The sequence below is a fragment of the Homo sapiens genome, chromosome 11 (genome assembly GCF_000001405.40).
Source record: "Homo sapiens chromosome 11, GRCh38.p14 Primary Assembly".
NCBI lineage: Eukaryota > Metazoa > Chordata > Mammalia > Primates > Hominidae > Homo > Homo sapiens.
In genome coordinates this window covers 8,113,440-8,136,842 of record NC_000011.10, presented here as the reverse complement: position 1 = coordinate 8,136,842, position 23,403 = coordinate 8,113,440, and the positions used below count along the sequence as shown (strand labels likewise).

The 23,403-nt window shown below is 39.5% G+C and overlaps 1 protein-coding gene across 35 annotated transcripts in view; it reads left to right on the top strand.

The window, feature by feature from the left end:
* The window catches only part of RIC3 (RIC3 acetylcholine receptor chaperone), a 76,061-nt gene that overhangs the window by 32,183 nt on the left and 20,475 nt on the right, over positions 1 to 23,403 (top strand). For 11 of the 35 annotated variants that reach the window (XR_001747957.3, XR_007062500.1, NR_144485.2 and 8 more), the window contains one exon: positions 10,039 to 10,184. The exons of 4 other annotated variants lie outside the window; for them this stretch is intronic. Coding sequence is in view for 11 of the 31 variants with exons in the window: in NM_024557.6 (NP_078833.3) it covers positions 10,039 to 10,184 (146 nt within the window). In the remaining 20 variants the exon portion in view is untranslated. Of the gene's footprint in view, positions 1 to 998; positions 6,839 to 8,488; positions 8,625 to 9,951; positions 10,185 to 23,403 lie in introns of those variants that run through there. 20 more of the 35 variants (XR_428851.5, XR_930896.4, XR_930900.4 and 17 more) reach the window with 7 other exon arrangements.

The following is a 23,403-nucleotide window of genomic DNA, read 5'->3' as shown; positions in this document are numbered from 1 at the left end:
AATAAATTTGTGAGTAATTCCTACAGGGTGAAATAACTATGATTTAAGAAAGAAAATTTCCTAGCTGTCTAAAATAGGTATAATTTTAAGTAAAACCAGGTTATTGAACATGATGCTTTCTACTTGAGACAAAATGAGAGAAGAGAGCAAGTGTGATCAGATTAGGCATTCATGTTTGTGTCGACTGTGCCAGCACAGAATTACATGTAAATTAGATGTTAAGAGCCAAACTGGCCGTTTAGAATGTCCCAAAGGGAAGACACTCCTCTTGCTACCAGGCTGGCTGAGGATCTGAAAGGGTGGCTTCAGGAGGTTGATAGAAGTGGACAACAACCAAGAAAACGTGGATATAGAAAGGCCAAGAAGGAAAAACCAGAATGTAAGATGGAGGACAAAGAAGGGTTCAGTTTCAGCTAGGTCTTCTGGCAAGGATGGAGGAAGAATATTAGGGGGAGTGGCAGAATCCCATGCAGAAGGAAGTGTTGAAATGTCCCTCCTGCATCTTTGTGAGCACACTGTAGTTTTTGCCCCAGGAAATCGTTGCTCTACCTTAGCCTCTATTTGCCATCCTTTATAGTACTAGTACGCTGTGCCCTTTGTTCACTGGCTTCGGCCTTGCCTGTCTTTGGCTGGATATGAGAGAGTGGGTATCCTCAGATTGCAGCCTCCTGACCTGGCATTTCCCTGCAACGTCTGCAGTGCTGTTGAAATGACATTTGTGAGGATGAACCTTGCCTGTGTGGGCCCAGGAGCCTTGACCTTCTTTTTGCCTGGAAAGCAGAGTTACTATCTGGAATGTTCCCCAAAGTTGTATAGATACATTAATATATCTGTGTGAGTGTACAATAATAATTGATATTTATTGAACAATTACTAAGGACCACACTCTGAACTAAATGCTTTATATACATTATCTAACATATGACTATTTGTATGAGTGTGACTAAACCAATTTGTGCAATTATACTTTTCTGGCCTTTTCTGCCCTAACCCTGTAGCTGCCACCTACAGTCTGGGTGGAGAACTACCCAGGCTATTATAGACAGTTATGTCTGAAAAAATATCTTTACACTCACCTGGGCCATTGGCAACCCCAGGCCACACCTAAGGGTCATGAAAACCAGGAATCCAACTTACAAGGGATGTGAAGGACCTCTTCAAGGAGAACTACAAACCACTGCTCAATGAAATAAAAGAGGATACAAACAAATGGAAGAACATTCCATGCTCATGGATAGGAAGAATCAATATCGTGAAAATGGCCATACTGCCCAAGGTAATTTATAGATTCAACGCCATCCCCATCAAGCTACCAATGACTTTCTTCACAGAATTGGAAAAAACTACTTTAAAGTTCATATGGAACCAAAAAGGAGCCCACATTGCCAAGTCAGTCCTAAGCCAAAAGAACAAAGCTGGAGGCATCATGCTACCTGACTTCAAACTATACTACAAGGCTACAGTAACCAAAACAGCATGGTACTGGTACCAAAACAGAGATATAGACCAATGGAACAGAACAGAGCCCTCAGAAGTAATATCACACATCTACAACTATCTGATCTTTGACAAACCTGACAAAAACAAGAAATGGGGAAAGGATTCCCTATTTAATAAAAGGCTTTGGGAAAACTGGCTAGCCATATGTAGAAAGCTGAAACTGGATCCCTTCCTTACACCTTATACAAAAATTAATTCAAGATGGTTTAAAGACTTAAATGTTAGACCTAAAACCATAAAAACCCTAGAAGAAAACCTAGGCAATACCATAGGCGTGGACAAGGACTTCATGTCTAAGACACCAAAAGCAATGGCAACAAAACCAAAATTGACAAATGGGATCTAATTAAACTAAAGAGCTTCTGCACAGCAAAAGAAACTACCGTCAGAGTGAACAGGCAACCTACAGAATGGGAAAAAATTGTTGCAATCTACTCATCTGACAAAGGGCTAATATCCGGAATCTACGATGAACTCAAACAAATTTACAAGAAAAAAACAACCCCATCAACAAGCGGGCAAAGGATATAAACAGACACTTCTCAAAAGAAGACATTTATGCAGCCAAAAGACACATGAAAAAATGCTCATCATCACTGGCCATCAGAGAAATGCAAATCAAAACCACAGTGAGATACCACCTCACACCAGTTAGAATGGCGATCATTAAAAAGTCAGGAAATAACAGGTGCTGGAGAGGATGTGGAGAAATAGGAACACTTTTACACTGTTGATGGGACTATAAACTAGTTCAACCATTGTGGAAGACAGTGTGACGATTCCTCAGGGATCCAGAACTAGAAATACCATTTGACCCAGCCATGCCATTACTGGGTATATACAGAAAGGATTACAAATCATGCTGCTATAAAGACACATGCACACATATGTTTACTGAGGCACTATTCACAATAGCAAAGACTTGGAACCAACCCAGATGTCCATCAATGATAGACTGGATTAAGAAAATGTGGCACATATATACCATGGAATACTATGCAGCCATAAAAAATGATGAGTTCATGTCCTTTGTAGGGACATGGATGAAACTGGAAACCATCATTCTCAGCAAACTATTGCAAGGATAAAAAACCAAACACCGCATGTTCTCACTCATAGGTGGGAATTGAACAATGAGAACACTTGGACACAGGAAGGGGAACATCACACACTGGGGCCTGTTGTGGGCTGAGGGGAGTGGGGAGGGATAGCATTAGGAGATATACCTAATGTAAATGACGAGTTGATGGGTGCAGCACACCAACATGGCACGTGTATACGTATGTAACAAACCAGCACATTGTGCACATGTACCCTAGAACTTAAAGTATAATAAAAAATATATATATTAAAAAAAAAAAGAAAACCATAGATGAAACCTCTGTGGGCAGGGCCCCTCACTTGGGAGACCCAACTCCTGGAGCTTGGGGTAAGAGACAACATGAAGATATTTTCTCATTATTATTTACTGTTGAGTAACAGACTCCCTTAACTCAAATTACTCCACCATTCAGTCCATGTACATCATCTATCTATAGCCCAAGCCAGGGATGCAATACTATAACCTCTAACTACTGTCTGTCCTCTTCATCCCAGATTTATGTCTCCTTTTTTATGTGCAAAGGCAGAGAAGCTGTCACTGTACTACATCTGGAGTTGTACTGTCTCATTTCAGGGGCCACAGGTTCTAGCCCAGAATGTTTACTTTTTATAAGATGCTGAGTTGTGGACTTCTTGGGAACATATTGATTGAAGCCTGCAGCATGGCAAAGGTTGTGTAATACTTTTTCCACCCTACCTCTTAGGAACTGGGGAGCAACTCTTCCCACTGAAGAAAGAGCATGGCTCCTGGCTCTTTACCAAATCTCTCATTTTTTAGTTCTCAGATGTGATTTTTCTCTCTGACACTCCTTAATCCAACACCTTTTATCCTTACAGGTAGGCCCTATGGGACTTATGCCCTAAAGACTGTAAGGGCTAGGCAGCCCATATGTTCGTATGTTTTCTGTTGGTATAACTGAATACCACAGACTGGGTAATTTATAAAGAACAGAGGTTTATTTAGCTCACAGTTCTGGAGGCTGTGAAGTCCAAGGTTTACAGGCAGGTATCTGTTGAGGGTCTTCTTGCTGCATCATCATATGGTGGAAAGGCGGAAGGGCAAGCAAGCACATACAAAAGAGGGAGGCACCAGAGGCCAGCCCACTTTATAACAGCCCATCTTGGGATAACTAACCCACTGAGATAATGGCATTAATCTGTTCATGAGGGCTCTGCTCTCATGTCCTAATCACTTCATAAAGGTGCCACCTCTTAATACTGTTGCAATGTCAATTAAGTTTCAACATGAGTATAGGAGGAGACAAATATTCAAACCATAGCACCATGTTTCTACATGTTTTCCCTTTTATACTTACAGTTTGTGTCCTTTAACCTCATTTTCTGTGGCATTTGTTCTTTTACAAGTCTGTGCTCCTATGATTATTAGAAAAGCCCAAAATATTCCAGTATTTGTTCTGTCAGATCAAAATTGTATCACATCTCTGGGTTTCTGGGGGTAAAGCAAAAGATACATTCATTTACAGCCTCTTAAGTCCTTTTATATAATATTCCATAACTGCAGGATGTTGGCTTAAAATTAGAAAACTCTGCAGTTTCTGAAACTTTACCTTAATGCTTAAGTAAGAACAGAAATATGGGGAAAGTTTTTGATATTATCTAATCAAACTTTTCAGAAAGCTTTTACTTGTGAGGGATGTAGGTCTGTACACATATTTAAATAATGAAACCTAGAATGTCAGTCTTGTGCCATGTTCTGTCTGATATTAAGCACAGTGTTTAACTCAAGGACACTGAGACTAAGGAAAGGGTCTAGGAATCAGAAGTGAGGTGTCCTGATTTCTGTCCTTACGATTTTGGTCCTCTCTTCCCCCACAACACACACATATTTTGACTCTGAAGGCTTTTGAGGAGGAATGTAACGATTTGCTGTGCTTTAGAAAAATAACTCTTATAGTAATACATAGAGTGACTACATGCTAGAAGATTATTGAAAAGGTTTCAGTAAATGGTAATAAATAGGCCAGTGAGAGTGGAAAAGTGGGGATAAATTAAGGGGACCTAATGGAAGAAAAAAATCACAGGCTGTATTCCTTTCTGGAATAGCATGCCAAGTTGTAACAATTTACCTGCTAGAAGCATGGTATGGTCAAGCAGTCCATGAGAAAAGCAGGGAGGGTGCAACCTCTGGCAGCAAAGGGCCCTGGCAGGCATGTCAACTATGTATGTGGGACTACAGATTTTTGCCATGAATTCCTGGAATGTAAACTCTTTGAGGCTAGACTTAGCCTATTTTGTTCACTGTGTTTGTATAGTCGGTACTAAGGAAATACTTATTGAATTAGAATACCTATTCTTTTTTTTTTTTTTTTTTTTTTTTTTTGAGATGGAGTCTCTCTCTGTCACCCAGGCTGCAGTGCTGTGGTGCAATCTCAGGTCACTGCAACCTCCACCTCCCAGGTTCAAGTGATTCTCCTGCCTCAGCCTCCTGAGTAGCTGGGACTACAGGCATGTGCCACCACGCCTGGCTAATTTTTGTATTTTTAGTAGAGACAAGGTTTCACCATGTTGGCCAGGCTTGACTCGAACTCCTGACCTCAGGTGATCTGCCCACCTTGGCCTCCCAAAGTGCTGGGATTACAGTCGTGAGCCACCGCACCTGGCCCCTATTCACTTTTGATTAAGCATTTGTATGTTTTTGTGGTAGAAGAGGAAATCATGACCATTCCTTTACTTCATTTCCTGACCTCTATATATAGAGCCCACTGGACATATCTCATAGATACCTACCTTTAGCCTCATCATATAATAAATATCTGTTGAATGAATGAATGTCCAAGATGGCATTTGTCATCTATCCCCCAACTGAACCTATTCTACCTTTAATTTCCATCTCAGCAAATGGCTCCACCATCCACTTGGTTGCCCAAAGCAGAAATTAGATGTTATCCTTGATTGACCTTTTATTTTACTTCCCATATCTCATCAATCACCATGTCTTGTCATTTCTTTTTAATTAATAAGTCTGTCTTGCTGCAAAAGACTGTAGGCTCCGTGAGGTCAGGGATTATCCTTCTTAGCTGTAGAGCTTAGCACAGGCACATAAAAGGCTCCAAAAAAGTGTTAGATGAAGTAGAAGAGTGAGTGAGTGAGTGAGTGAGTGAGTGAGTGAGTGAATGAATGAATGCCTATTTTTGATACAGGTCATAACTATCTCATGTGATTTCTCTGATTTTGCCTCCTTTCGGTTTTCTTTCTGTTTTCCAAACAGATTATCTCTTTTGTTTTAATCCTTCAACAGGTCCCTTTTGATTTTGAAAAAGCACAGAATCTTTAACGTAGCTTACGTGGTCCTGAGTGACCTGGCCTTGTGTACCTCTCTTGCTTTATCTTTCTTCATCACTCTCTCTGTGGTCCAGCCACACTGACCACTTGCTGTTCCTCTAAAATACCTGTACCTTTTTGCCTCTGGACTTGGCATATACTTTTTCGTTTGCCTGGGTCCTCTCTCCCCCCCACAACACACACTTATTTTGACTCTGAAGGCTTTTGAGGAGAAATGTCATGATTTGCTGTGCTTTAGAAAAATAACTCTTACAGTAATATATAGAGTGACTACATACTAGAAGGCTATTGAAAAGGTTTCAGCAAATGGTAATAGGCCAGTGAGAGTGGAAAAGTGGGGGCAAGTTAAGGGGACCTAATGGAAGAAAAAAAATCACAGGCTTTATCAGGGTTCCTTGGTTGCAGACAGCCAACTCTGGCTAGCAAAAAATTTGGAGTACGAGGAGGCAGAATTTATTGGAAGAATGTGGGGTAGCTCATAATATCAAAGGAACAGCTGAACATGCAGGTTTCAGGAAGGGTGGTAACCAGAGCAGCTTTGGGCATTTAGGGAGCAGGAACAAAGGGAAAGTCTCCTCATGGACTGTTGCCTGGATGAATTTAATGTCAAAAGTATTCAGTTCAGGCTTCACTGTGTTCAAGGTCCAAAAGTACAGTTGGCCCAACTTGGGTCCTATATCTATCCCTGAATCAATCCCTGCAGTCAAGGGGATGGAATGTGATAATTAGTAGTGGGTCACATGGCCACCCTTGAAGGAGAGGTAGGGGATGGATGGCTCACGTTAATCTTTGCACTATGAATGGAAGAGGAGTTGGTTCCCCAAAAGAAAACTACTAACCAGATAAGAGTAATGGAGAAGAATAAATAAATAAAGATGCATTGGAGATTTACAGCCAAACTGGAAGGAAGATTATGGCATTAACTAAGATAAAATACAAAAGAAGGGAAAGTACATAAGGCTTTGGAGTTGGGATCATAAGTTCAGCACTGAGTGTGTCTGAGATGCCATCAGAACATCCATGTATAATATGAAACAGCAATAGGAAATTTGGTTCTTGAGGTCAGAGCAAAGGGCTCAGGTTTGGAAGTCATTGGCTGGGAGTGAGAGATGGAGAAAATCTCCATGGAGAAAGGTGAGATCACCAAATCTTTGAGGCATATCAGACTCTGCTGCAGTATCCTGAAATCTTTTACTGGTCTGAGTTCTGTTCTAACCATGAATGGTATTAACATCTATTTAATTCTCTGTACTTAACTCTTGCATTTGGAACTTGATGATTCTGCTGGGCTTATAGAATTCAAAATTCTGGTGAGGGTGTTTCCCAACTGTGACCTTTTATTTTTCTATCATCTTAGAATCTTCCATACTCAGCCTCTTCTGGTCTTCCTGTTCATGCAGTTGCTCACGATCCTGAGCCAACTGGGACCTGGTTTCAAGAGGTGAATTTAAGGTTAACTTTAACATAGTTCCAAGGCCTCCAAGTGGAAATGCCCAGGAAATAACTGGAGTTGTGAGACAGGAATTTGTGTGGAAAGTCAAGATTAATAGTAGCATTAGGACATCTTTTCTATAGAGGTGATGGTCTAATCTGTAATACTGGGTCAACTTCCTGAGGGCATGATTATAAGAATGGAGAAATGAGAGTCCTAGGATTGAGCCTTGGGAAAATTGTTTTGGGAGGTGGGTGGAAAAAAGTGAGTCAGGATCATAGATAAAAGGAATGTTTAAAGAAGTGGGAGAATACAAATGTCTCAATAGCTAAGGGAGGAGGAGGTTTCAAGCAGAGGATGGTCTATGGTATAGAGAAGTCAAGAAGAATGAAATGTGAGAAAAAGACCCTTGGACTTAGTAAAGTGAAAAATCACTTAGGAGTAAAAGTTTTTGGCCGGGCGCTGTGGCTCACGCCTGTAATCCCAGCACTTTGGGAGGCCGAGGCGGGCGGATCACGAGGTCAGGAGATTGAGACCATCCTGGCTAACACGGTGAAACCCCGTCTCTACTAAAAATACAAAAAATTAGCCAGGCGAGGTGGCTGGCGCCTGTAGTCCCAGCTATGCGGGAGGCTGAGGCAGGAGAATGGCGTGAACCCGGGAGGCGGAGCTTGCAGTGAGCTGAGGTGGCGCCACTGCACTCCAGCCTGGGCGACAGCGAGACTCCATCTCAAAAAAAAAAAAAAAAAAAAAAAAGTTTTTGCAACTTTTCATAAAATGATAGAACGGAATCCAGAATTCAGGGAGGTGGAAGAAAATAATGGATGGTGAGGAAATGGGGATCAATCAAACTAACACGTAATTATTGAGCTCTTAACAGTGATCATGGCATTGTGTCTATACTGTTGTCAACTTAATTATTACTGCCCTCTAGGAGTATCAAACCAAGTTGAGATGATAAGGAATCCATGAAAATATTCATTGCAATAAATTCAGAAGATGTCATAAGGTAGACCATGATTAATGCATAATGCATGATATGGACAATAAAAGTATACTTGTTAAGAGTGAAATGAGGATGCTTTGGTTTGGAGTTCTCTGGGAAAGCTCTTGTCTGTTCCTGCTTCCTGTAGTCTACCCATCCTCTTTTAGGATAAGGGCTTCTGATTTCCCATGACTTAGGAAACAGAATTAAGACTGTTTCATTCATTGAAGATCAGAATGCCCTGCGTACAGTCTGGAAAAGTAACATGTGCCGCCTGAAGAGACAAGAGTTTGTGATAAGCAGGTAAGCTCTTCTAGTCTGCCCCAGAAGCCTCACACAAAGTGGGTTGTTTTAACAGTAAGAAATAGGGGTTATGTGGGACACACGAGCAGTTGTGGAGAGTCAGGACTCCTGTACTGATGGGAAGAATAGAGCTATCAGAGGCCCTGTAAGTATAGGATTTTAGCTGAATGTGGAACAGACAGGCATCTTTAGTAGTTCATGGCTTTGAAGCTGCTTGGTGTGGAAGAAGTGGAGCTCGTGGTGTTTTCCATTTTCCTTTCACTGAGGTCTCTGGTAATGTTCATTTTCCTCAGTTACTATCTTCATGTTGAAAGGAGAAATACTCTTTTCATTTTCCTTATTAGTCATTAAGGCTAAAGTTAGGCTGAGCAGAGAAATGAATGCAGGCTCAGAACTGGCTGTTAGAAAAATAGACGACCATCTCCACAGGCTAGTACATAGTACATCATTTTTCCTTTGTAAGTGTTGTATTAACTTGTGTCTGGGTTTTAAGAAGAGAATAAGTAGCCTCCATTAAATCCTGCTGCTAGATAAAACTGGTCTCAAAGCAGATAGTTATCAGTCTTCTAAGTAGGACCTTGTTTGCCTGTCAGTGTGATGCAGTGCTTTCCTCTAGAAGAAAACAATCAAACTGTTATCCTTGAGTCTCATGTTATTTTTGCAGATATTTGCCAGAACCACACAAGTAAGTTGGGATTCAAACCAGGTTTTCCAAAATGTGGAACTTGAGCACTGTGCTTCAAGAATTGCGCAGAATGCAATCAGAAGCCTGGGTGGTTTTAGTTATAGTGCTTCATTAAGTGGCAGTATGAATATATAAACAATATTTCTCCTCTGTGGACCCCAGTTTCCTCAATTTCTCTAGTCTAGATGATTGAATTTTCAAAATCACCCACCTCTGAAATTTTAGAATATATCCTTATACCTGCACACGTAAATTAAGCCTGGTGATTCTAGTAGCATAAATTTTCCCCGGTTGATGCTAATGGCCCAGAACGTTTTCCTTTGATGACCTTGCTTCAGAGAAAAGTGGCTTGTAGTAAATGGAGTAATGTGAGTAGCAGTGAAATTGTTAGGCGATTAGAGAATCAGGGCATTGACATACCCTGAAAAAACACTGAACTAAAAGCTGAGACATCTGGGGTCTGGTCCTAGTATTGACATTAACTAATTTCGGGACCTTGGGCAATCACTTGATCTATTCTGGGCTTTAATTTTCCCATTTATAAAATCAAAGCATTGAACTAACATCTCTAGTTCCCAGCTATGCAGTTGGAGGATCAATTCCTAGAATAATTATCTGCTGCAATTGCACTTTCTATTCCAGTACCCAGACAGACCATAGTGATGTTTACGTCCATTGCCTAGGAGTATTTACCACTAAATGGTTGGATTGTCTGATATTTCTAAGCAGAGCACAGACTGTGACTTCTGACCAAGAGAAACGGTTGCTACATCAGCTCCGAGAAATCACCAGGGTCATGAAAGAAGGAAAATTCATTGACAGATTTTCTCCAGAGAAAGAAGCTGAGGAGGCCCCTTACATGGAGGACTGGGAAGGTAAACAGTGTCTTCTCATTTTTTTGTTAGCTGTCAGCCCAGAAAAGAGATGTTACAGATTTTTAAAAAATCAGCTTCATTATTGAGGTATAATATATAAACAGTAATATTAACCAGTTTTAAATGTACGGTTGGATGAGTTTTGACAAATATATAGAGTTTGTGTAATCACACCGTAATTTTGATAAAGAACATTTCCATTACTCCAGAAAGCTCCCCCTTTGTAGCTAATGCCCTTCTCCTGCCCCTGGAAACAACTGAAGTGCTTTCTGTGCCTTTAGTTTTGCCTTTTCTATGTAAGTGATCATACTGCATATACTCATTGGCTTCTTTGATTTAGCGTAATACTTTTGACATTCATGTTTGTTATTGAGTGTATCTGAAATTTTTTTCTTGCTGAGTAGTAGTCAGTTATATACTTATACCATAATTTGTTTGTCCATTCACCAGTTGAGGAGCGTTTGGGTTATTCCTAGCTTTGCACTCTTATGACTCAAGCAGCTATGAACTTTTGCATATGAGTCTTTGTTTGAACATATATTTGTATTTCTTTTGAGTCTATACCTAGGAGTGAGATTTTTGGGTTTAAGGTAATTGTATATTTAACTTTGTTTTTGTTTTTCAAGACAGTCTCACTTTGTCGCCCAGGCTGGAGTTTGCAGAGCAATCTCAGCTCGCTGCAACCTCTACCTCGTGGGTTCAAGTGATTCTCCTGCCTCAGCCTCCCAAGTAGCTGAGATTACAGGTGCCTGGCACCACACCTGAATAATTTTTGTATTTTTAGTAGAGACGGAGTTTCACCATGTTGGCCAGGCTGGTCTCAAACTCCTGACCTCAAGTGATCTGCCTGCCTCAGCCCCTCAAAGTGCTGGGATTATAGGTGTGGGCCTGTGGGCCACCGCGCCCGGCCACCTGTTTAACTTTATTAGAAACTGTCAACCTGCTTTCCTAAGTAGGTCTACTTTTTCCCTTCCCACCAGCGGTGTATGGCAATTAAAGTTCCTCCACATCCTTGGTAACACTTTGTCTTGTCAGTCTTTTTAATTTTATCCATTCTAGTGAGTGTAAAATGATACCTTAATTGTGACTTTAATTTACCTTTCTCCAGTGACTAATGATGATGAACATTTTTTCATGTGCTTATTTGCCATCTGCATATCTTTGAAGTGTCTGTTCAAGTAGTTTGCCAATTTTTAAATTGGGTTGATTAGGTTCTTGTTGGGTTGCAAGAGTTCTGTATATATTCCGAGTACAAATTCTTTATCATTTCTGTATTTTGCAAATATTTTCTGTAGCTTGCCTTTATATTTTCTTAACAGCATCTTTCAAAGAGTAGAAGTTTTAAATTTTGATGAAGTCCAACTTAACCATTTTTTTCTTTACGATTTACTTTTTTTTTTTTTTTGAGACAGAGTCTTGCTCTGTCACCCAGGCCGGAGTGCAGTGGTGCCATCTCGGCTCACTGTAAGCTCCACCTCCCAGGTTCATGCCATCCTCCTGCCTCAGCCTCCCTAGTAGCTGGGACTACAGGCGCCTGCCACCATGCCTGGCTAATTTTTTTGTATTTTTAGTAGAGACGGGGTTTCACCATGTTAGCCAGGATGGTCTTGATCTCCTGACCTTGTGATCCACCCACTTCGGCATCCCAAAGTGCTGGGATTACAGGTGTGAGCCGCCGTGCCCAGCCCATTTTTTATGTTCTGTTTAAGAAATATTTGGCTAACCCAAGGTTTCCCAATTCCCATGTTTTCTAGAAATTCTACAGTTTTAGCTTTTACATTTAGGCCTGTGATCTATTTTGAGTTAACCTTTATAGATGATCTGAGGTGTCAGGACTGAGGTTTATTTTTTTCCATATCAAATACCCAATTGTTCAGCTTCTTTTGTTACATTTAATTAGCTTGACATTTGCTTGACAAACCAGTTGACCATGCGTGTGCTTGTCTCTTCTGGGCTCTATTCTGTTCCATTGATCTGTATGTCTCTACTTGTACCAATAGCACACGGTCCTTATTACTATGTCTTTATAGTAAGTCTTTATTTTGGGTAGTTCAAGTTGTTCAGATTTTTTTTCCCAAGATTATTTTGGCTATTTCCTTCACAATTTCAGATAAATTTACAATCAGTTTGTCAGTTTTTATGAAAAAGCCTGATGGGATTTTGATTGGTACTGCTTTGAATCTTTAGATCAATTTGGAAGAATCAATACTGTAACGATATTGAATCTTCTAGTTCATGAACGTCTTATATCTCACCATTTATTTAGATCTTTTAAAAGTTCTCTCAGCAGTGTGTTGTAGTTTCCAGTGTATAGGTCTTGCATATGTGAGGGATATTGGTCTGTGATTTTCTTTTCCTGTAATTTCTTTGGTTTTGATTTCAGGGTAATCCTGGCCTCATAAAATGCATTGGGATGTGTTCCTTTTTCTATTTTCTGGAAAAGTTTCATAGAGTTACTGTTATTTATTCCATAAAAGTTATGTGGAATTCTCCAGTGATATTATCTTGGTCTGGAGTTGCTTGCTTGCTTGCTTGCTTGCTTGCTTGCTTTCTCTTTTTCTTTTTCTTTTTCTTTCTTTCTTTCTTTTTTTTTTCAGGGTCTTGCCCTGTTGCCCAGGCTGGAGTACAGTGGCACGTGATCATGGCTCACTGTTTGATCTCCTGGGCTCAAGCAACCCTCCCACCTCAGCCTCAGTAGCTGAGCCTACAGGCATGCACTACCATGCCTGGCTAATTTTTTAATTTTTCAATTTTTTAAATTTAAAAAATTAGCCAGGCGTGGTGGTGCATGCCTGTAGGCCCAGCTACTCATGCCTGGTCTTGAACTCCTGCTCTTAAGCAATCTTCTGGTCTTGGCCTCCAAAATGCTGGGATTATAGGCATGAGCCACTGTGCCCAGTTGGCCTGGAGTTTTATTTGTGGGAAGATGTCTATGAATTTAATGTATTTTATGGATATAGTGCTATTCGTTCATTCACTTCTTGAGTGAACTTTTGATAGTTTGTATCTTTCAAGGAATTTACATAGTTCATCCATATTGTCAACTTTATTGTTAGTATAAAGTTGTTCATAATATAGTCTAATTATCCATTTAATATACGTAAGATCTGTAGGGTGCACCCTCTTCTATTCTTGATCCTGGTAATTTGTTTCTTTTCCTGATCAAGCTGCCCAGAGGTTTATCATCCTTGTTGATCTTTTCAGAGAACTGTAATTTGGTTTCTTTTTGTTTGTTTGTTTCTTATTTCATTGACTTGTGTTTCTTTCTTTCTGGTACTTTTGGTTTAATTTGCCTTTCTCTAGTTTCTCAAGGTGGAAGCTTAGACCCATGATCTATATTTTTGGCCATTATTTTATTAATGATCTGTGTCTTTTTGTCTCTCTTTTATTTCCTTCTGGCTCTCCAGTTGCATATATGTTTGATATTGCCCCACAGGTCATGTGAGTTCTGTTCACTTTTTTTTTTCTTACCATGCTTAGTTTTGAATAGTTTTTCTTGCTATGTCTTCAGGTTTATTGATGTCTTCTTCTACTGTATCTAACCCACTGTTAATCTTATTCAGTGTTTTTTAATTTCAGACATTATCATCTCTAGAAGTTTCATTTGGGTCTTTTTTATGTCTCATTTATTCATATTTTACTCTCTTAAACGTATGATTCATATCTGTAATAGCTTTCTTGACTGTTTTAATTGCTAATTTCATCATCCATGCCATTTCTGGGAATGTTTCTGTTGACTAATTTTTCTCCTGGTAATGGGTCCTAATTTCCCTTTTTTTTTTTTTTTTTTTTTTGCATACCTGGTAGGTTTTGATTGGATGATGGATATTACAAATTTTGCATTGTTAGGTGCTGGATTTTGTTTTAGTACTTTAAATAGTGTTGGATTTATTAGGTTAGCATTTAGGTTAGTAGAAAATAGTTGAATCCTTTAAAGCTTTAACATTTTTTAGTTTGGGTCCAGAACAGCCTTTATTCTAGGGCTAATTATTTAGTTATATGCTTATACCATAATTTGTCCATTCACCAGTTGAGGAACATTTGGGTTGTTCCTAGCTTTGCACTCTTATGACTCAAGTAGCTATGAACTTTTGCATATGAGTCTTTGTGAATATTTATAGCAGCTTAATTTCAATAGCCAAGAACTGGAAACAACCCATATGTCTTTTAGGAGGTGAATAAACTGTGGTACATATATATATACACACTGTGGTATACACTTAGCAATAAAAAGGAATGAACTATATATACAACAACCTAGATGAATTTCCAGAGAATTATGCTGAGTAGGGGGAAAAAACTAATTCCCAAAGGTTACATACTATATGATTCCATTTATAATTGACGTGGCAATATTATAGAAATAGAGGACTGATTAGTTGTTGCTAGGAGTTAAGAGGGGAATAGGAGTAGGGAAGAGTGAGTGTGCCATGAAAGGGCAACATAAGGGGTCCTTGTGGTGATGGAAAATGTTCTGTATACTGACTATATCAATATTAATATCCTGGTTGTTATATTGTAGTACAGTTTTGCTAGATGTTGCCTTTGGGAGAAACTGGATAAAGGGTACATGGGATTTCTGTATTACTAGTAGTAGTATTTTTTAAAGGGATAGAGTCTTAACCATGTTGCCCATGCTGGGACTCAGGCGATCCTCCCACCTCAGCCTCCTGAGTAGCTGGGACTCCAGGTGCATGCCACTGTGCCTGGCTTGTATTATTTCTTATATGCTGCCTGTGAATCTATAATTATCTCAAAATAAAAAAGGTTAATTTTTTTAAAAGCAACACAAATTCTAAGGGAAAAGATTGTGTAGCTTAAATACATAAAACTTTTACCTTCTGCAGATCAGAGAATATCACACAGTTTAAAAGACAAGAATAAACTGGAAAAATATTTATAACAAATATGATTGAAAAAAGTTATTATTATTTTTTTTGAGACAGAGGCTTGCTTGCTTTTTTGCCCAAGTTGGAGTGCTGTAGCTTGATATCTGCTCCCTGCAACCTCTGCCTCCTGGGTTCAAGTGATTCTCGTGCCTCAGCCTCCCAAATAGCTGGGACTACAGTCATGTGCCACCATGCCCAGCTAATTTTTTTAGTTTTAGTAGAGACACGGTTTTGCCATGTTGACCAGGCTGGTCTTGAACTCCTGGCCTCAAGCGATCTGCCCACCACAACCTCCCAAAGTGCTGGGATTACAGACGTGAGCCACTGCGCCTGGTGGATATATTTAATATATTAAAAAGTTCTAGAACTAATTTAGAAAACACTGATATCCTTACAGATAAGCAGTTCACAAAGAGAAAAAAATGCAACCAGCTATGAAACATATAAAAAAGTATTTTAATCTCACAAGTAATTAATGAAATGAAATTCAGTTTTTCCTCCAAATTGCAGTTTTCGTTGTTCCCCCTCTACCTACCTTTTAGGTTTTGTTGAAATTATATGGAATTTTAACTACAAGTGATATTAATTTTTAAAGATATTAACCTTTTCTGTTTTAAGTGTCATTTCTTAACGGCAGCATTAAATTCCTAGGCCACATTATCAATACTTATTTTATGTTGATAATTCTTACAGATTTCATTCTTAACCACTGTCTCATATATAGCATCATCTTTCTTGAATTTAAATTTTGACTAATTTTTGTATTTGTCAAGAATACCTTTATATTTTTCCCATATAGTATTGTGTACTGAATACTTGGATATCTGTACATATTTTTCACCTGTACACAAATTGTTTGGCTGGGTATAAAATCGTTGATTATGCCATTTTCCCTAAAAAGTTTGAAAATATTGCTTCATTCTCTACTTTAATTTGATATTGAAAATGAGAAATCTTATCCTGGTCTGCTTCTTTTTCTCAATAGGTTACCTGTTTTTAGTTAGGTAGCTTGTTTGTTTTCTGTCTGGAAATTTGTTTTATTTTCTTTCTTTTTTTTTTAAATTATATTTGGGGTATTGGTGTCTTTTTTATTATTATACTTTAAGTTCTAGGGTACATGTGTACAACGTGCAGGTTTGTTACATAGGTATACATGTGCCATGTTGGTTTGCTCCACCCATCAACTCATCATTTACATTAGGTATTTCTCCTAATGCTATCCCTCTCCTAGCCCTCCATCCTCCGACAGGTCCCGGTGTATGATGTTCCTCACCCTGTGTCCAAGTGATCTCATTGTTCAGTTCCCACCTATGAGTGTTTGGTTTTTTGTCCTTGTCATAGTTTACTGAGAATGATGGTTTCCAGCTTCATCCATGTCCCTGCAAGGGACATGAACTCATCCTTTTTTATGGATGCATAGTATTCCATGGTGTATATATGCCACATTTTCTTAATCCATTCTATCATTGATGGACATTTGGGTTGGTTCCAAGTCTTTGCTATTGTGAATAGTGCTGCAGTAAATGTACGTGTGCATGTGTCTTTATAGTAGCATGATTTATAATCCTTTGGGTATATACCCAGTAATGGGATTGCCAGGTCAAATAGTAATTCCAGTTCTAGATCCTTGAAGAATTGCCACACTGTCTTCCACAATGGTTGAACTAATTTGCACTCCCACCAACAGTGTAAAAGCCTTCCTATTTCTCCACATCCTCTCTAGCATCTGTTATTTCCTTACTTTTTAACGATTGCCATTCTAACTGGCGTGAGATGGTATCTCATTGTGGTTTTGATTTGCATTTCTCTGATGGCCAGTGATGAGCATTTTTTCATATGTCTGTTGGCTGCATACATGTCTTCTTTTGAGAAGTGTCTGTTCATAATCCTTTGCCCACTTTTCGATGGGGTTGTTTGTTCTTTTCTTATAAATTTGAGTTTTTTGTAGATTCTAGATATTAGCCCTTTGTCAGATGGGTAGATTGCAAAAATTTTCTCCCATTCTGTAGGTTGCCTGTTCACTCTGATGGTAGTTTCTTTTGCTGTGCAGAAGCTCTTTAGTTTAATTAGATCCTATTTGTCTGTTTTGGCTTTTGTTGTCATTGCTTTTGGTGTCTTAGTCATGAAGTCCTTGCCTATGCCTATGTCCTGAATGGTATTGCCTAGGTTTTCTTCTAGGGTTTTTATGGTTTTAGGTCTAACATTTAAGTCTTTAATCCATCTTGAATTAATTTTTGTATAAGGTGCAAGGAAGGGATCCAGTTTCAGCTTTCTTCATATGGCTAGCCAGTTTTCCCAGCACCATTTATTAAATAGGGAATGCTTTCCCCGTTTCTTGTTTTTGTCAGGTTTGTCAAAGATCAGATAGTTGTAGATGTGTGGTGTTATTTCTGAGGCCTCTGTTCTGTTCCATTGGTCTATATCTCTATTTTGGTACCAGTACCATGCTGTTTTGGTTACTGTAGCCTTGTAGTATAGTTTGAAGTCAGGTAGCATGATGCCTCCAGCTTTTAAAAATCTGAATTTGGTTGGATAATCTGCATGTGTCTGAGCGTGTACGAATGTGTGGATTTTTCATAGTATTTTTGCCAAGCATTTAGCGAGTCCTTCCCATCTGAAGACTCAAGGCTTTCTTCAGCTAAAGGGTATTTTCTTTTATAATCTCTTTGATTATTGTTCCCATTTACCTTATTTTGTTCTCTCATTCTAGAATTCCAGTAATTCTGAGATTGGATATTGTTGATAGTTTGCCATGTAGCTTATCTTTTTTCCTCATAATTTCCATTTCTTTATCATTTTATCTTTGTGCTGGGAGAATTCCTCAACTTGGACTTTTAATATACTAATTTGGTTTTCAGCCATGTCCATTTCAATCTGCTATTTTTTCTTTTTTTTTTTTGAGATGGAGTCTCACTCCGTCTCCCAGGCTAGAGTGCAATGGTGTGATCTCAGCTCACTGCAACCTTCGCTGCCTGGGTTCAAGTGATTCTCATGCTTCAGCCTCCTAAGTAGCTGGGACTACAGGTGCCCGCCATCACTCCTGGCTAATTTTTTTTGTATTTTTAGTAGAGACAGGGTTTTGCCATGTTGGTCAGGCTGGTCTCGAACTCTTGACCTCAGGTGATCCAACTGCCTAAGCCTCCCAAACTGTTAGGATTACAGGCGTGAGCCACTGCGCCCAGCCCAATCTGCTGTTTTCTTGCCTGAGCATTAATTTTTTTTTTTTTTTTTTTTTTTTTTTTACAATTATGGCTTTCTATTCAATAGCTCCTTTTTATTTCTTGTTTGCTACCTTTTTAAATTGAAGCCTGGCTAGGTTTTATCAATGCAGTATCTTCTTGAATATTATTAGGAATATCAATCATAAATTGGTTGATGTTAACGCCTTTATCTCCTGCACTAACTATTTTATTAGAGACTATTGGCATTGTTTGTTTTGGTTAGTTTTGTTCCCTCATTTTGAACTGCTGGTTTCCTCATAGGAGCAGTGAATTTTTGTTGCTTGCTTATATTTTTAATGATGGTCTTTTTTTTTTTTTTTTTTTGAGATGGAACCTTGCTCTGTCATGCCCAGGCTTGAGTGCAGTGGCAGGGTCTTGGCTCACTACAAGCTCCACTTCCCAGGTTCACGTCATTCTCCTGCCTCAGCCTCCCAAGTAGCTGGGACTACAGGCGCCTGCCACCACGCCTGGCTAATTTTTTTTAATTTTTAGTAGAGATGGGGTTTCACCGTGTTAGCCAGGATGGTCTTGATCTCCTGACCTCGTGATCTGCCCGCCTCGGCCTCCCAAAGTGCTGGGATTACAGGCGTGAGCGACCGTGCCCAGCCTTAATGATGTTTTTGAGTAACCAGTAATGATGGCTTACATAGGCTACCTCAGCAGTTTTATGAGTTATTATTTGATTTTCCTCAGTGGGCCTCTTCCTCTTTTAAAAAGAAAATTATTTATTTTAATTAATACATAAAATTATATATATTGATGTTTTGATATATGTATACACTGTGAAATGGCTAAATCAAGCTATTTAACATACACATTACCTCACATACTTAAGGATTTTTGTGGTGAGAACACTTAAAATGTACTCTGTTAGCAATTTTCAAATATACAACATACTGTTATTAACTATAGTCTGTATAATGTATAATAGATCTCTTGAACTTATTTATTCCTCCTATCCAGCTGAAATTTTATGTCCTTTGACTAGCATTTCCCTGATCCCCCTAGCTTCTGATAACCACCATTTTATTTTCTTAATGAGCTTGACCTTTTTACACTCCATATGTAAGTGAAATCACGCTGTATCTGTCTTTCTGTGCCTGGCTTATTTCAGTTAACATAATGTCCTCCAAGTTCATCTAGGTTGTCATAAATAACAGGATTTCCTTTTTGAAAGCTCAGTAGGCCAGGTATGGTGGCTCACGCCTGTAATCCCAACACTTTGGGAGGCCGAGGCAGGTGGATTGCTTGAGCCTAGGAGTTCAAGACCAGCCTGGGCAACACGGTGAAACCCTGTCTCCACAAAATACAAAAATTTGCTAGGCATGGTGGCATGTGTCTAGTCCCAGCAACTTGGGAGGCTGAGGTGGGAGGCTGAGATGAGTCCAAGAGGTGGAGACTGCAGTGAGCTGAGATTGTGCCACTGCACTCCAGCCTGGGTGACAGTGTGAGACCTCGTCTCCAAAAACAAAAAAATGCTAAGTACTATTCTGTTGTGTATATGTGCCACATTTTCTTTATTCATCCATTCATGGATGTTCAGATTGATGCTATAGTGTGGCTATTGTGAATAATGCTGCAGTGAACATGGGAGTGCAGATATCTTTTTGACATACTGATTTCTTATCTTTTGGATATATATCCAGTAGTGGGATTACTGGATCATATGATAGTTCTATTTTTAATTTGTTGAGGAGCCAGTATACTGTTTTCCATAGTGACTGTACTAGTTTACATTCCCAGCAATAGTATATAAGGGTTCCCTTTTCTCTACATCCTTGCTGACACTTATTATTGCCTTTTGTCTTTTTGATAATAGCCATTCTAACAGATGTGGTGATATTGTGGTTTAAATTTTCATTTCTTGAATGTTTAATGATGTTGAGCACTTTCTCATATGCCTGTTGACTATTTTTCTGTCTTCTCTTGAGAAGTGTCTATTTATATCCTTTGCCCATTTTTAAATTGGGTTTTCTTTTGCTGTGGAGTTGAGTTCCTTATATATTTTGCATATTAACCCATTATCAAATATATGGTTTGCAAATATTTTCTCCCATTACATAGATTGTCTCTTTACTGTTGTTTCCTTTGCTGTACAGAAACTTTCAGTAATCCCATTTGTCTATTTTCACTTTTGTTGCATGGGCTTTTGGTGTCATATCCAAAAATATCATTGTCCAGACCAATGTCATGGAGCTTTTTCCCTAGGTTTTCTTCTAGTAGTTTTACAGCTTCAGGTCTTATGTTTAAGTCTTCAGTGCATTTTGAGTTGATTTTTGTAAATGTGAGGTGTGAGATGAGGGTCTAATTTCACTGTTTTGCATGTGGATATCTAGTTTCCCCACACCATTTATTGAAGAGATTGTCCTTTGACCTTTTTGTGTTTGTCCTTTGACCTGTGTGTGTGTGTGTTTTATTTTTTGGCATCTTTGTTTAAAAAAATTGACCATAAATATGTGGATTTATTTCTGGGCTTTTATTCTGTTCCATCAGTCTGTGTGTCTGTTTTTATGCCAGTAACATACTGTTTTGATTACTATAGCTTTGTAGTAGATTTGGGAATCAGGTACTGTGATGCCTCTGGCTTTGTTCTTTTTGTTCACAATTGCTTTGGCCATTTGGGGTCTTTTGTGGTTCCATATGAATTTTAGAATTGTTTCTTCTATTTCTGTGAAAATTGTCATTGAAATTTTGATAGGGATTGTATTAAATCTGTAGATTGCTTTGTATAGTATGGACATTATAGCAGTATCAATTCTTCCAATCCATAAACGGGACATCTTTTCATTTTATTTGTGTCTTCTTCAATTTCTTTCATCAATGTTTTATAGTTTTCATTTCAGCCTCCCAAGTAGCTGGGATTACAGGCATGCACCACCATGCCGAGCTAATTTTGTATTTTTAGTAGAGGTGGAGTTTCACCATGTTGGTCAGGCTGGTCTCGAACTCCTGACCTCAGGTGATCCACCTGTCACAGCCTCCCAAAGTGCTGGGATTACAGGCGTTAGCCACCGCACCTAGCCTATACTTTCATATATATATATATGTATATTTGTGTTACTGAATAGTGTCCCTTGCTCTCTACTTGAAGAACACCCTTGAGCATTTTTTATAAGATAGATCTTGTGGGGATAAGCTCCTTCAGCTTTTGTCTGGCAGAGTCTTTGTTTTTTCCTCATTTCTGAAGGAGAGCTTTGCCAACTACAATATTCTTGGTTGACCTTTTTTTTTTTTGTTTTTGTTTTTGTTTTCCGTAAGCATTTTGAATATATTATCCCACTCTTTTCTGGCCTTTAAGGTTTCTGCTGATAAATCTGTTAGAACTCCCTTATAATGTGATGTACTTTTTTTCTTTTGCTGCTTCCAGCATCCTCTCTGTCTTTGATTTTTGATAGTTTGATTATAATACTTCTTGATATAGTCTTACTTGAGTTCAGTCTGATTGGAGACTTTTGACCTTCTTGTACCCAGATATTTATAACTTTCCCCAGATTTGTATAGTTTTCTGCTATTATTTCTTTAAGCTTTCTATCCCTTTGTGTCCGTCTCCTCCTTCTTGAACTCCAGTTCCCATAAATCCCATAAGCTTGCTTTCTTTTCATTCTTTTTTTCTCATCCAACTGTATATTGTCAAATAATCTGTCTTTAGATTCAAAGGTTCATTCTTTTGCTCAATCAGTTCTGCTGTTGATACTCTCTATTGCATTTTTCATTTCAATTCTCGTATTTTTCAGCTGTAGAATTTCTGTTTGATTTTTTTAATATAATTTCAATCTCTCGTAAATTTTTTGTTTTAGTTATTTATTGTTTTCCTGGTTTCCTTTAATTGTTTCTCTGTATTTTCTTGAAGTTCGCTGAGTTTCCTTAAAACAGTTATCTTGAATTCTTTGTCAGGCAGTTCATGTGTCTTCTTTTTCTTTCTTTCTTTCTTTTTTTTTTTTTGAGATGGAGTTTTGTTCTTGTTGCCCAGGCTGGAGTGCAATGGCTTGATCTTGGCTCACTGGAACCTCTGCCTCCTGGGTTCAAGCGATTCTTCTGCCTCAGCCTCCTGAGTAGCTGGAATTACAGGCGCCTGCCACCACGCCCGGCTAATTTTTTGTATTTTTAGTAGAGATAGGATTTTACCATGTTGGCCAGGTTGGTTTTGAACTCCTAACCTCAGGTGATCCATTTGTCTTGGCCTCCTAAAGTGTGTGAGATTACAAGCGTGAGCCATCACGCCCGGCCGTATCTTCATTTCTTTAGAGTCTGTTCCTGGTGCTTTATTTTGTTCATTGGTGGCAACATGTTTCCTTGATTGTTCTTGATCCTCATGGCTATGCATTGGTATCTGTGCATTTGAAGAAGCAGGGACTTTTGCTGGTGAATGGTTTTTGCATTCTGGCTTTGTCCGGAAAAGCCATTCACCAGTCAGCCTGCCCAGAGATTCTGGGTAGGCCATTTGGTGTGATCTGCAGGTAGACTTGCTGGTAGAGTCCTTAGGCAGGGTGGCCTGGTGTTGAGTCCGTGGGGTTGGGGTTGAAGCCTGGATCCACTGGGGTGTACCTGTTGATTGGATCCTCAGGCATGGACCTGGTGCTTGTATCTTGTGCAGAGAGGCTATCCCAAAGCCTAGGTCCACAAGGGCTGACCTGGGGCTGGACTGGGCCTTGAGCCTGGGTCTTCAGAGATTGGCCAGGTGCTAGGATGAACCTGGTGCCCGGGTCCACTGAAATGGGCCTGGAGGCTGAGTCTGATGGATGTGTCTGAAGGCTAGGTTCATTAGGGCTGGCTTGGGTCCTGGGGCCACAGGCCTCAGCCTAGAACCTAGGTCCATAGGGGCAGTCCTGGGGTTCTGAGGGCCGGCCCAATGCTGGGGTCTACTGGGTTGGGCTAGACCCAGGGTCTGCTGGATTGTGGGAATGCAGGGGCCAACCTGAAGGTGGGGGTGGTCATAGAGACTAGCCTGGCACTGGGCAGGCCTGGAGCCTGTGTCTGCAGGCTCCAATTTGGGTGCCATTGGGGTGCCAATTTGGCACTGGGCTATGTGGGCAGACCTGGCTCTGGTTTTGTCTGGAACCTAGGGTGGGACTGGATTCTGGGGCCATAGTTGCTGGCCTGATGCTGGGT